The 14,876-nt window shown below is 38.1% G+C and overlaps 1 protein-coding gene across 9 annotated transcripts in view; it reads left to right on the forward strand.

The window, feature by feature from the left end:
* The window catches only part of CAMKMT (calmodulin-lysine N-methyltransferase), a 410,646-nt gene that overhangs the window by 198,132 nt on the left and 197,638 nt on the right, over positions 1-14,876 (forward strand). The window lies entirely within an intron of this gene.

Below are 14,876 nucleotides of genomic sequence, written 5' to 3' on the forward strand. Positions count from 1 at the left end.
CTTTGAAGTCGCTTTTCAAGTTGTCAGTAAAATATTTGAATAGGCTAGAGCTAAACACAACACACTGGGAGTTTCTGTTAGGAAAAATTGACATCCATCAACTGACTTGGCCAGTTTTTCTTAGTCTTGTCCATAAGAATCTATCTGAGGCTTAGTTAAATGTCTTCTTGGAACTAAGAGATACTCTAACATACTTGTTTTTTAAAATTTATTTTCTTTTAGAGATAAGGTCTCACTCTGTTGCTCAGGCTGGAGTGCAGTGGCATGATCATAGCTCACTCCTGGGCTCAAGCGATCCTCCCACTCAGCCACCTAAGTAGCTAGGACTACAGGAGCATACCACTATGCCCAGCTAATTTTTTAATTTTTTTTTTCTGGAGACAGTGTCTTGCTATATTGCCCAGGCAGGTCTCGAACTTCTGGCCTCAAACAATCTTCCTGCCTTGGCCTTCCAAAGTGCTGGGATTATAGGCGTGAGCCACGGTGCCCAGCAGGTGGCATCCTTCTAATGATAGACTGATTGACCAGTCTAAAAAGAAAAAAGCATGCTCTCATTTATTAATATCTAATATTATATAGTTTGAGGTGGTATATTTAAGCTCTTTGGACAATAGTTAACCTAATCTAATTTTATCCTTCAAAATCATCTGAACAAAGCCTACCTATGCCCATCTCCATTTCCCTGGCAGCTCCCCCATTCTTTGGGATGTCTCAAAGTTACTAATATTGATTTTGCACACTTGCCCTCAAGTTGTTTCAGAACCCTGGAGTGTAATTTGTCTAAGCTTGAAAAGTTGAATTCACTTGAAGTGACTTCATGCTGTTTTCCTACTATCTTACACCTTAGATGGGGGCTTTGAGTCTTTCTTTTTGATTCTTGTTCTACCATTTTCAGAGAGAAAATTAAATCTAAGCAAAACAGGAATTGATAAGTATAGCTGCCTTCCTGTCACCCTTTATTATTATGTCATATGGCCTGACCACTGGTTTTGTAACATTCTTGTTTGTCTTCTTATTCCAAACAACCTTCTTATAATCTTTATCATTTTTTTTTCTTTCTTCTTGCATGCCTCAGCATTCTGGAATTTAGCCTTTCTGATACTGTGTTTTGTAAGTTCCTACCAACTTGGCAGCATACTCCTGGTGAGGTGAAGCTCCTCAACATTACTACGTCTTACCAAAATCATGGTTTTGTATCTAGACTTAGAAATAGATTATCTGAATTCTCCATCTAGCTGGTGGTTTATAGTATGTGTACTTCCACAAGACTACCATTACTGTTTTCCTTTCTTAATCTCCACTTTTTCTTTCCTTCTTTGTGTTTGATTTTTACATAGATAAATATATTCTGAACATACAGTTTACTTATTATTCATCACTATGAATTGATAAATAAGCATGTGACTTTCTTTTCCTCGTTGCTTTCACTTGGGATAACCTGGTGACATTTCCCAATATAATTCTTCTAAGTCATACCTGTAGGCCTTTTTATTAATATTCCCATTTACTCTCAATCAATTCAGCTAGTTTTTTGTCAAACATGTTCTGCTCCCTTTTCAGGAGGTGAATGATATCTCTTATTAGGAGTTTTTCAATCTGCCAGCTTAAGCTATAGATAGACAACAATATTATGGGGTTTAGAGCAAGTTGCACTTAAGACATTGATGAGGGACCTTAAGATCTGGTCACATTGGATCCCCTCACTCATTTCTGATAAAGAAAATAAAGTAGATCTGATACTGCTAAATGAACAAGGAAGTGGAATTGTCTGTAAGAGTCTTTGAGGACATGGATGGGTCAGGAAAAGTCAAGGAAATCACTAGGCGATGGCCAGGTAGGGAAGTGAGCCATGGACAGGGCTGGAGAATATAAGAGGGAGAAAAAAGTGAGCCTCCATTCCAAGTGATGGTGATGGTGTGAAGCAGTTGTGGTGGTGGACTTGCTTGTGACAGGTGGTGAACTTGTGTGAAATGAAAATAGAAGATCAAGCTGATGCTTGGAAACTGGGTAGGAGGTTTATTGGGGTATTCTGCCAAGGGCTTTGTAACTTGCCACCCAGCTGCTGTCTTTGAGTAGAAAGTCCTCTAGTGGTGAGCCAGTGAGAGGGGCTAAGAGCCATGTCCCCCTTCCCATTCCACTCTGTGTTCTACATCAGAATTTCAGGTCCAGAGCAGTTTTTACAACAAACGAATTCTATTTTTCTTGGCACTATCCACAGTCTCTGTTTACCCTTCTTTCTTTTCTAATCCATTTGCTTATTATAATTATTATTACAACAGAAGCATAACCATTAACAACAATAATAGCTAGCACTTTATGAGCTTTCATTATATGCCGAATATAAGTATTAACTCATTTAATTCACACAACATCCCTGGGAGGTGAGTATTATTATTTCTATTTCACAAATGATGAAACCAAGGCTTAGAGAGGTTGGGTAACTTGCCTAAGGTCACACAGCTAGTAAGCCGTGACTTCAAAGCCATGCTCTCTTTTTTTTGAGACAGAATCTCACTCTGTCACCTAGGCTGGAGTGCAATGACACAATCTCAGTTCACTGCAACATCCATCTCCTGGGTTCAAGCAATTCTTCTGCCTCAGCCTCCCGAGTAGCTAGGATTACAGATGCCTGCCACCACACCCAGCTAATTCTTGTATTTTTAGTAGAGACGGGGTTTCAACATGTTGGCCAGGCTGGTCTCAAACTCCTGACCTCAAGTAATCTGCCCGCCTGGGTCTTCCAAGGTGCTGGGATTACAGGCGTGAGCCACAGTGCCCGGCCCAAAGCAGTGCTCCTAATATCATATTCCCATCTGCCTCCCCTGCTCAAGAGGACCTTACTCTCTCAGTACTGGTGGTATTTGTGGTAAGATATGGAGAAAATGATAACTAAGTATGTATTTCACAATATGTAAAGGTTTTTTCTTTTTTAACAGACATTACATTATTTGATCTAACCAACTCCTATGCCATAACTAGTGTTATTCCTATTTTATGGAAGAGAAAAATAAGGCCGAGAGATTAAATTAAAACTTACAAGGTTTACTTTTATTGAATTAATTTTTAAATTATTGTTATAAAAATAATCCTACAATCCCACAACTTAGAGGTATCTACTCTTATCTCTTCGGGATGTATTTCCCATAGGTGTATATACAAATTTTTGTTTCTTTCTTAAAAAAAGGATTATACTACCTGTACTGTTTTATAACCTGACTTTTTTTACTTCAAAATGTACTATGAATATTTTCAGTGTGATTAAATTTTCTTCTACAATATTATTTTAATAGTATTATTGTTTTGCCTTATGTAGATATTACCATTTGTGCTCCTGACACAGTAAAACAGTAAAGATGATAATATCAAGGGAGAGTATAGTCATTAGTTTCTTTTTTTTTATTATTATCCCCCATACTTTAAGTTCTAGGGTACATGTGCACAACGTGCAGGTTTGTTACATATGTATACATGTGCCATGTTGGTTTGCTGCACCCATTAACTCATCATTTACGTTAGGTATATCTCCTAATGCTATCCCTCCCCCTTCCCCCCACCCCATGACAGGCCCTGGTGTGTGATGTTCCCCACCCTGTGTCCAAGTGTTCTCATTGTTCAGTTCCCACCTATGAGTGAGAACATGCGGTGTTTGGTTTTCTGTCTTTGGCGATAGTTTGCTCAGAATGATGGTTTCCAGCTTCATCCATGTCCCTACAAAGGACACGAACTCATCCTTTTTTTATGGCTGCATAGTATTCCGTGGTGTATATGTGCCACATTTTCTTAATCCAGTCTGTCATTGATGGACATTTGGGTTGGTTCCAAGTCTTTGCTATTGTGAATAGTGCCGCAATGAACATACATGTGCATATGTCTTTATAGCCGCATGATTTATAATCCTTTGGGTATATACCCAGTAATGGGATGGCTGGGTCAAATGGTATTTCTAGTTCTAGATCCTTGAGGAATCGCCAAACTGTCTTCCACAATGATTGAACTAGTTTACAGTCCCACCAATAGTGTAAAAGTGTTCCTATTTAGAGTCATTAGTTTCATATTATTTATACAGTTGGGGTTCAAAGCATACTAGTTGATCAGAACTTTTTTTTTTTTTTTTTGAGACGGAATCTCACTCTCTTGCCCAGGCTGGAGTGCAGTGGCTCAATTTCATTTCACTGTAACCTCCGCCTTCCGGGTTCAAGCGATTCTCCTGCCTCAGCCTCCCAAGTAGCTGGATTACAGGAGCGCGCCACTATGCCCGGCTAATTTTTGTATTTTTAATAGAAACGGGGTTTCACCACCTTGGCCAGGTTAGTCTCAAACTCCTGACCTCAACTGATCCACCTGCCTCGGCCTCCCAAAGTGCTGTTATTACAGGCGTGAGCCACCACACATGGCCTAGAACTTTTCTCAGAGTGAATAAAGGCCTGCATTGCTATTATTTGCCAAGCTGATAACACATTTTGTTTGTTTGTTTGTTTGTTTTTAGGCAGAGTTTTGCTCTTGTCACCCAGGAAGCTGGAGTGCAGTGTGGCACGATCTCAGCTCAGTCTCCCAGGTTCAAGCGATTCTCTCCTGCCTCAGCCTCCCGAGTAGCTGAGATTACAAGCATGTGCCACCATGCCCAGCTAATTTTATATTTTTAATAGAGATGGGGTTTTACCATGTTGGCCAGGCTGGTCTTGAACTTCTGACCTCAGGTGATCCACCTGCTTTGGCCCCCCAAAGAACTGGGATTACAGGCGTGAGCTACCACACCCGGCCCAAGCTGATAACACTTTAAACCTTGGTTGGACTTGGTAGTGTCATTACATATATGCAGGTATCCACTCTTGTCTGTAAGTGAATTTCATGAACTAAGCCACCCTGTTAGGGTTGTGCAAGATGAAACCATAGTCCAAAGAGATTTCCAGGGCTATCCACTGTTTCCTCACTTGGTCTGCCTGGCGTTGCTGTCATGTGTATTCGTGTCCTAATTTTTTTCTACTGGGTTGAGGGTTCTTCGGAGAAGGCATCTTTCTCATCTTTGTCTCTCACATTTCCTAGCATAGTGCTGGCCAAAGGGACCCCCCAAGTGGTTTAACTTTATATTCACTTAACTATGGCAAGGGTGGCTTGATGGCAACACCTTCAAACATTTTTATCCATATACATTTGATCTATAAATTGGATCAAGAATGCTCAGAAAAAGAAATAAACATTAAAAAAATAATAAAGTAGGCAATGTGGTGTCCTGGAAAGAACACTGAATTGCAGCAAGAAGATGTAGCTGTAAAGCTTTGGCACTAACTTCTGGAGAGAACTTGGTAAAGTCACTTGACTTCTCTGGTTCTCCATCTCTCCTTTTGAAAAATGAAGGAGAGATGAGATACTTTTTTAGATCCTTCCCATTAGTGATGTGTGAGGATTACGTAATTTAATATTGCCAGAGTTTGTGCTTACTTTACAAAAAGCAAGAAAAAACTTCAGGAATAAACAGATTCTAAAGCAGTTCTTCTAAAATTTGGCTACACATTGGAAGCACATAGTGAGCTACAAAACAAAACAAAACAAAAAAACGATGCCTGGATCCTACTCAGAGAATCGGATCTAAGTAACCTGGAGAGTGGTCTGAGTCTGGAATTAAAAAAACAAAAAAAAAAACAAAACTCCCCAGGTGATTTTATGTGGAGCCAAAACCACTGTTTTAAAAGTTTTCCCCATTGTCTTATTCACAAGTGATCAATTACTGGGCAGGGCACAGGTATTACTATTTTGACCCTAAAAATAAATAGGAAGGCTGACTGTTCTAAAGTTGATGATGCTATTTCAGATCTTTTCACACAGATGTCACTTGCCCTACAATATTGTTTTGTCATGCCACAACATGTGTTTGTGTAACCGCACATGCATGTGTACGTGGCTTGTAAATCTGTGGGGTAAATTAGATGGCGCTAAAAAGTAATTGAGGATTACAAATTATCTCTACCGGCTGTTGAATATTTTATGTCAATTAAACATTTGTAAAAACCAAGTATAGTATTATGATCTACTCATAACTATTAGAAGACTGGCACATCTCCATACAGCAAGAGCCATTGCTAAGGCTACTGTACTACTCTGGCATGAATCATAATAAATTGGGATCCCCCTGGACATAATGAACAGTAATATAATTTTGTAGTTATCCTCCTAGCATGATGAAGCAGCAAGCCAAATTGAGTTTCTAGATAAATTTTGACATATGGGTCTTATTCCTAAAGAAAAAGAGCTATTGTTGCTTTGGCTTTGTTCCAGAATTCTGCAGAAATCCACATGGTAGCTTATTGTTGTATTACAAAAAGGTACTACAAGTATTTTTTTATGAAAAAGAATAAATTGCTAAGTTCAATTAGTCCTTTGGGGCAGAATTTGGAATTTCTTTTCAGTCAGGCTGCTGGGTCGTATGTGAACTATTGTTTGACTCACACAGGGGCTGTCCTAAAGGCCTGTGAGCCATAAGGCCACCGTGGGGGCTTCTAGTTGATGGTGGAAGGATCAAGCAGCCCTCTTTGCCACAGCAGCAAAAAATGATGTTGACATCATTTAAAAAAAAAATTAGCCATAGGAAGGAGGTTAAGAAGTTGTGGCAGAATTGAAACAAATCTAGGCCTCTCAACTGACAAGCTGAGAACCCTGCTTGACATTTATGAGTGGATGCGTTTGAGGAATTATGTAAGAATAGTAAGTTAAAGGATGCTTTTAATTTAAAAAATTAAGATAACCTGAAAACATACCTGTAAAAACATTTCAGTTGACACAGTCTCTTATGCTTATAACAAGGATTACTGTTAATGTGTTTTTGCGGAGTTGGGCTCTGATCTGTAAATATTTCTCAGGGAGATAAGAGTCTATGGTTAAACAGTCGTAGTAGTAGTAGCAGAATTTGGGTGTCATTGTATAGCCAAATTCAGAAGCTTGGGGGAAAAGAATAGCTACCATAGGAACCAGTATTTCAGAAGCAAGTTCTGCTTGTGAGAGTTATCAGTTGACCAAGGGATTCCTGTGTAGGTTTGTAAAGAGTGTCAGATCTGGCATTCTCAGTATGGAATTACTGGCATGATGCAATGGAGGAACAGGAATTTTTCTGCAGCTCTTTCAGTAGTATTGGTTTGGTGTTGGGTTATCCAAATAATGCTCAGATTGTCCTAATTAACATTAATTCATCCCCTCTGTTGGGCTCATGTGACATATGCAACCCGACCATCAGTCAGTGGCGTATTAAAATGCTCTCCACAGGACCACAGAGCAGTGGGTGATCTCTGCATGGACGTGATCTTTGTTGAGCAGGAATACTCATATTTCTGCCCTAAGCACAGAGCAACCGGCTATCAACTGGGATAGAAAAATTATGTTCATTCAGGAGACTACTGAAACATCTTGCTTCTCTCCCATGTCAATCCTTTGTAATAGAGTAAGGGAAAAGTACATACACTTTTGAGTAACAGTTTCCATACAAATGCTCTGATGAAAGTAGGGTCCCATTTGGAGGAAGCTCAGTTCAGGGCTCAGCTTGTTTTCTGGAAGCAAAAGACTGCTATTAGACAGAGACAGACATGGGAAGGATGAGAATTGAAATAAGATAAAAAGAGAGGATTTTCCTTGTCAGGTTTCTTCTGCAGTTATGTCTTGTCCTGTCACGTCCTGCTAGCACAACTTTTGGCAGAATCCAAAATTTGGGAGCCAAACTAGACATTAACAATGTTTCTTCAACAGCTCAGCCATAGAAGCTGATTTCAAAGTTAACAGTAACTGCTCTCTTTGGATCGAGAGTCATTCATTCATTCAGCAGTTATTTATCGAGTGCTTACTTAGCACTGGGGAAACTGGTGAATGAGGTAAAATGCTACTCCTGTTCTTATTTACAAGTAAGTACTGGGGACCAAGGTTAATTGTTTACTTGCAGTTATGATAAGGGTCGCTCTTAGAGCTTATAATAAGGAGCTCTAACTTTGCCAGGGGCCAGGGTGGGGGTGGGTGATCAAAGCATGCAACCTTGAGGAAGTAACAGTTGAGCATAAATCTGAAGGATGCACTGGAGAGCGAGATGAAGGAGTAGGGCAAAGTGTTCTAAACAATGGGAAGAGCATAGGCAAAGTCCTGAAATGAGCAAAACGAGCAAAACAAGCTGAGCCTGAATTGAGCTTCCTCCAAATGGGACCCTACTTTCATCAGTGCATTTGCTTGGAAACTGTTACTCAAAAGTTTATGTGTGTTGTGTCTTTTGCCTTAGTCTATTACAAGAACTTACATAGGAGAGAAGCAAGATGTTTCCAGACCCTCCTGAATGAACATAATTTTTCAATCACAGTTGGTAGCTGTTGCTCTGAGCTTAGGGCAGAAATATGAGTATTCCTGCTCAGCAAACATCATGTCCATGCAGAGGTCACCCACAGCTCTGTGGTCCTGTGGAGAGCATTTTAATATGCCACTGACTGATGGCTGGACTGGATATGTCACATAAGCCTGACAGGTAGCAAGGAGATTGGTTTTAGAGGAACTGAAGGTCTAAAAAGGCCACCCTGGCTGAAGCAGGTCAGCATAACAGGAGAGGAAGGAGAAGGGGCCAGACTGTGGGTCCATGAGGGCACCTCATGGACATGGCAGGGGTTTTTGCCTTTATCCTAAAACCAATAGGAAGACATTGAAAGTACAAAGCTGGGGAAGTGACATGTGCAGCCCCTGCTTACAGAGGGCACAAAAGACTAAGGTTAGAATAGGGTGTGGGTTCTGAGAGGCCCTGTGGAGGCTAGTGCGGAAGCCCAGACCACAGAACAGGAACGAGGGAGATGGCAGTGGAAGAGAAGTGGAAGCATGCAAGCTACATTTCCAAGTTACAAGGGTCAAGTCTTGGCTTAGAAGCAATGGTGGTGGTTGAAATGTCAGTCTCTAGGGCAGTGTCAGAATTCCACCTGATGGCTCTGGCCATCACATCTCAGTTTCTGGATTGTTCGGGTTAATGCTAGACAGGTAGAGCCCCAAACTAAGTATGTGCTCTGAGAGACTCTGCCTCATGAATAAAAATCATGCTGTCCTGTGATTTTTATTCATGGAACAATTGTACCTAGAGACAACTCAATAGGAAAACTATTAATAACTGGTGATAATATCATCTCACTTCTTCAAAATAAATGTTTTTCATTTTCAAAAGTTCTAAGTTCAGTTACTTGCAATATTTCTGCTTACATGGTAAAGGTCTATAAATCAAGATGCAAATATCATCGGCTTCTTACAGGGTATTATACGAATGGCGATTTTCTAGGAGTTATTTCACTAAATTTGCATATGTAATCCAATGGAATATATTCATTGCAAATGATTCTGAAAATCATTTTCTTTTTTTATTTTAAAAATGAGTTTTTGTTTAATAACCTTACATTCCCAATCTGTGTACTGTTACTATTGTCATTCTCCTTCAGTAGTGCTGTGAAATCTCTTCCAACTCTCAGATTCCATGATTTTCCTTTGTCCCTGCCTCTCTTATTATCTTTCATTGCATCTCTTCTCTCAGTGTCCTGTCTTTCTCTCTTTGTGGAGGTAGTAGCTGGCATGATAGATGGAAGTTAGAATGCTGAGGAAGGGTAGTTATCAAGGGAAGCTTGGGCCCTAGTCATCGCCAATCCTCTTTCCTCTATTTCCTCTGTGCATTAGCTTCAAGTGCAGTCATTACTCATTTAGTCCTCAAATAAAATGCTCTTTGTTGCAATGACAATTTTTTTCTAGTATAAGGCAAAATGGCATATCAGTCTGATGATGTGGATTTTATAGCAACCGGCAGATTTTATTTGTGTAAGGAGTTTTTATAGTTGTTGGTTACCTTTTTTTTAAGTTGCCATTTGGATCAAGGAGGATTTTATTTCTTAACTAGGATTATTCCTTTATCGGATATTAACTTAGCCTTTTTTCTCTAAATACCAAATTCATAGAGATGCTACATAGTTAATTTTTTTCTTTGTAACTAGATTATCCCCATATCAGGTATTTCATAAAGCCAGGATAAATGTATTTAACAGAAAATATCCATCTTATAAGTAATGTTTCCCCCAAATACAATGAGGTCCATTTAAATGAATGTCTGAAATAAAAATAATCCTAATGATAGATCTAATGCACTTTGTATCAGACCCATTGAGTTTCTTTAAACTCTATTCAATAAATGCCTGATTAATAAATAATCCTGTTAAATGAATAAAACCCCAGTGTGCCAAACGGAGACATACAAAGCAATCATGATCAGACTTGTTATGGGAGAATGATAGATGAATAAATCTACTGTGCAATTAATTTATGACTGAACTATGATGAAATCCCAGTGGCAATACTAAATCTGTTAGAGGAATAGATTTATCATCTTCTTTCAAACAATTACATTCCAGGAACTTTACAAAAATACTATTATCTGAATCTTATCATAATAGAGATATCTGTTCATTTACATGGGGAAGAATTCCTTCTGTGCCGTCAGAGCTAAATTAGTGTTTATTATTTTTGATGCTAACCAAAACAGAAACAATATAGGACAGAAACTACTAATGTGGTTAGCTATTCTTATCTGCTTCTGTTTCTTCAAACTTGATTAAAATTGCCTAATTTTTAGACAGTTTTTTTGTTTGAATAATTTTACTTTTTAAAAGATGAAAAGCAAACGAATAAAAAACAGGTTATAGGCTATTTTGAAAGCAATCTGTGTTACTTCATAATGTGGTTACATGTAGGTTATGAAGGCACAAATTTGGGGACCATGTTTTAAGAAGATCATTGGGGATTGGTAGTATTTCAGGTTATTGTTACATATTTTAGCTTCAAAAGACAGTCGACTGTATTTTAGTGCTGTCGTTCTTTTAGACAGGCACTTATTGATACCAAAAAACACCACGAAAAGTAAAAAGGAAAACCCAAACCACAAGAAACATTTTGATTTAAAGGTTAGATAGTCTGAATTCATGAGAACTTAGATTCAGAGCATGGCAAGGTTAAAAGAAATTTTATTAGGATCAAGACACAAACCATGTTTAATGCAGTCTTTTTGTTTTGGGGGAACTAGAGCTGATATTTTAAATCTAGTCGTTTTTACCAATGTAAGGGAATTTAAGAGATAAAATTTGAATAGAAAGGTAAGATTTGTATAGTGATTACAAAGATGTGACCTTTAACAGAGGGTTTTGTTGTGTTTGTTTTCCACATAAAAGAATGAAGAATTTGTGAGGGTGAGGTAAAAGAGAAGGGGTCTCCTTAAAACTTGAGAGAAGGAAAGAATTTGTCCCATTGTAGCAATATTTGAAAACAGGTTTTATTAAGGTTTTAATATGTGTTGAAGTAAATAATTATGCAAATTGAACTAGAAACTTCTTAGTTTAAATCTAGTCTGCTATTTACAGTGTTAGTAGCTGGACATCATACTTTTTTAAATTAATGTAATATTGATAAATAGCAATCCTGTGTATTCTCTTATTTCTCAGACTTAATAACAAAGACTTTATAAATCCACATATGTAGTGGGTTTCAGTTGTTTGCACGTTATTCATGACCAATATTATGTACATAGCATTGTTCTAAGGCCTTCTTTGATCTGATCTTGGGTATAAAGAAACAAAAACAAGCCGGGTGAGGTGGCCTATGTTTGTAGTCCCGGGTGCCCTGGAGACTGAGGCAGGAGGATTGCATGAACTAGGGAGTTCGAGACCAGCCTGGTGGCAACACAGTGAGACCCTGTCTCTAAAAAATAAAAATTAAAAACTAAAAAAGAGACAAAACAAATAACAGTTATTACTTGCAGAGCTTATACTTGAGATGATATTAACATATGAAATAACAAATTCGAACACTGACACATCACTCATTTGTGAACTACCTTCATGAATTATTACCAAAAATCCTATTTTAAAATATTTTTTATCATGGTAAAACATATATAATCTTTTACGTATCTTAAGTATACAATTCAGTGGCACTAAGTATATTTATGTTGTTGTGCAACCATCACCACCATCCATCTCTAGAACTTTTTCATCTCCCCAGACTGAGACTGTACCCATTAAGCAGTAATTCTACAATCTCCCCTTCTCCCAGTCCCTGGCAGCCACCATTCTACTTTTGTCTCTGTGAATTTCTTTTTTAAAAAATTTAATTCTTTTGTAGAGACAGGTTCTCCCTGTGTTGCCCAGGCTGGTCTTAAACTCCTGGGCTCAAGCAATCTTCCCATCATGGCCTCCCAAAGTGCTGGGATTACAGGCGTGAGCTGCCATGCCTAGGCTCTATGAATTTCATATAAGACGAATCATACAGGGTTTGTCCTTTAGTGAATGACTTAATTCACTTGAGATAATGGCATCAAGATTCATCTGTGTTGTAACGTGTCAGAATTTCATTCCTTTTTGAGGCTGAATATTATTCTATTGCATGTATATATTAATACTATATTTTGTCAGTCCATTTATTCATTGATGGACATTTAGGTTATTTCCGTCTGTTGGCTGTTACGAGTAATGCTGCTGTGGACACAGGTGTACACATGTCTGTTGGAGTCCCTGCTTTAATTTTTTGGGGTCTATCTCTGGAAGTGGAATTGGCTGTTATGAGTAATGCTGCTATGTTGGCTCTTATGAGTAATGCTGCTGTGTTGGCTGTTATGAGTAACGCTGCTATGGACACAGGTGTACACATGTCTACTGGAGTCCCTGCTTTAATTTTTTGGGGTCTATCTCTGGAAGTGGAATTGCTGGATCATATGGTAATTTTATGTTTCATTATTTTTAGGAACCACCATAGTGTTTTCCACGGTGGCTACATCGTTTTACATTCCCACCAGCAGAGCACAAGGGTTCCAATTGTATCTCTTGTGGTTTTTGATTTGCATTTCCCTAATGATTAGGAATGTTAATCTTTTCATGTGCTGTTTGGCCGTCTATATCTTAGTAATAGTAATCTTTTCGTGTGCTGCTATTACTGTTAGTAATAGTAATCTTTTCATGTGCTGCTATTAGTAAAAGTAATCTTTTCATGTGCTGTTTGGCCGTCTATATCTTAGTAATAGTAATCTTTTCATGTGCTGCTATTACTGTTAGTAATAGTAATCTTTTCATATGCTGCTATTAGTAATAGTAATCTTTTCATGTGCTGTTTGGCCATCTGTATATTTTCTTTGGAGATATGTCTATCCAAGTTCTTTGTCCAGTTTTCAATCAGGTTTTTTGTTGTTGAGTTGTAGGAGTTCTTTATAATATTATGAGTAGTAATGTCTTGTTAGATATATGATTTGCAAATATTTTCTCCCTTCCTATAGGTTGCTTTTTCACTCTGTTTTTTTTTAGTGTATATTATCTTTTATTTACCTATGTAGTGACTTTAATCAGTGCTCATTATTTCTTTGTGTGGATTCCATTCATTCTGTTGATAATGTCTTCTGATGGACAAAAGTTTTTAATTTTGATGAAGTTTGATTTTTTAATTTTCTTACTGCCTGTGCTTTTGGTGTCATATATAGTTTTCATTTTGTAGTTTCCTTTAAGTCTTCTGGCTTTTGTGTTTTGTTAGGGAGGCCATCTACATCATAAGATTATAAAAATATTCTCTGAAATTTTCTTCAAATACTATTGTAATTTTTTTAAACATTTGGTTCTATAATCTCATCTGGAATTTAGTTTTGTGTATGATGTGAGGTAAAATTCCAAATTTATTTTTTCTATGTGGATATTCATTTGTTCAAACCAAATGTATTAGTTTATTTTTTCTTCACTGTTCTGAAATACAACCTCTACCATATACTGTATCCACATATGTAAGTATGTCTATTTCTGAATACTCTATTATGTCTCACTGATTTGTGAGTTTCTGCTTTAATTATTTTATAGTTATGTTTTGATTTCTGATAGGGCAGGTCCCTTCTGATTATTCTCTGTAAATTTTTTCTTGAGTGTTTTTATTTATTCTTCCAGATGAACGTTTGAATCTACATATTGGATTTTTAGAAATACAGTAGTATATTACAGTTTACCCAGGATTTGTTTTAATCAGGTTTGGTAAGACATGCAGACGTGGACATAATTATCATGAAGGAAATGTTTAGACTTATATATCCCTAGAAACGGCTATTATACAATGCCACTCAGAGCCACATGGGGAAGACCAAGATTGGGCAAGAGGCAGAACCAGGGAGCATGGCCCAGTGCCTTTATTGGGGTTTTCACAGGATCGAATGGGTGAGGTAGGGTAGGTATGTTGAATAAGTTTAGGATTGGAGAGTTTGAGTAATTTTGGTGGGCTCTGGGTTATAGCTGCGGCCCCTAATTATCTGATATCTAGCCCTAGGCAGATTTAGGCTGGCAGGAATATTGGCTTGGTGTGTGAGAGTTAGTTACAGGAGATGGTTGGGGATGTGTGGTCTGGATTGGTTGACTTAAATATCAAAGGTGCACTTGCAAAGAAATCCTTTGTCTTCTCTAGGAATTAGCTAGCCCTGAGAGGGGCAATCTAAGATGAAGACTCCAAAATGCCAGAGTATCAAGAATACAGGGGGAAAAAAAAGTCAAAACAAGCTATGATTTTTTTTTTTTGACTGAGGTTGCGTTGACTTATAGAGTAATTTGATAATGAAATGACATCATTACTACAGAGTGCTCCCATCTAGGAAAATGATATGTCTTATTAATTAATTAATTAATTAATTGAGATGGAGTCTAGCTCTGTCTGCCAGGCTAGAGTGCAGTGGCGCGGTCTCGGCTCACAGCAACCTCCATCTCCCAGGTTCAAGCAATTCTCCTGCCTCAGCCTTCCAAGTAGCTGGGACTACAGGCATGAGCCACCACGCCCAGCTAACTGGCTATTTTTTCGTTTTTGTATTTTTAGTAGAGACCAGGTTTTAC

Source organism: Homo sapiens, chromosome 2, assembly GCF_000001405.40.
Source record: "Homo sapiens chromosome 2, GRCh38.p14 Primary Assembly".
In the NCBI taxonomy this organism is placed as follows: domain Eukaryota; kingdom Metazoa; phylum Chordata; class Mammalia; order Primates; family Hominidae; genus Homo; species Homo sapiens.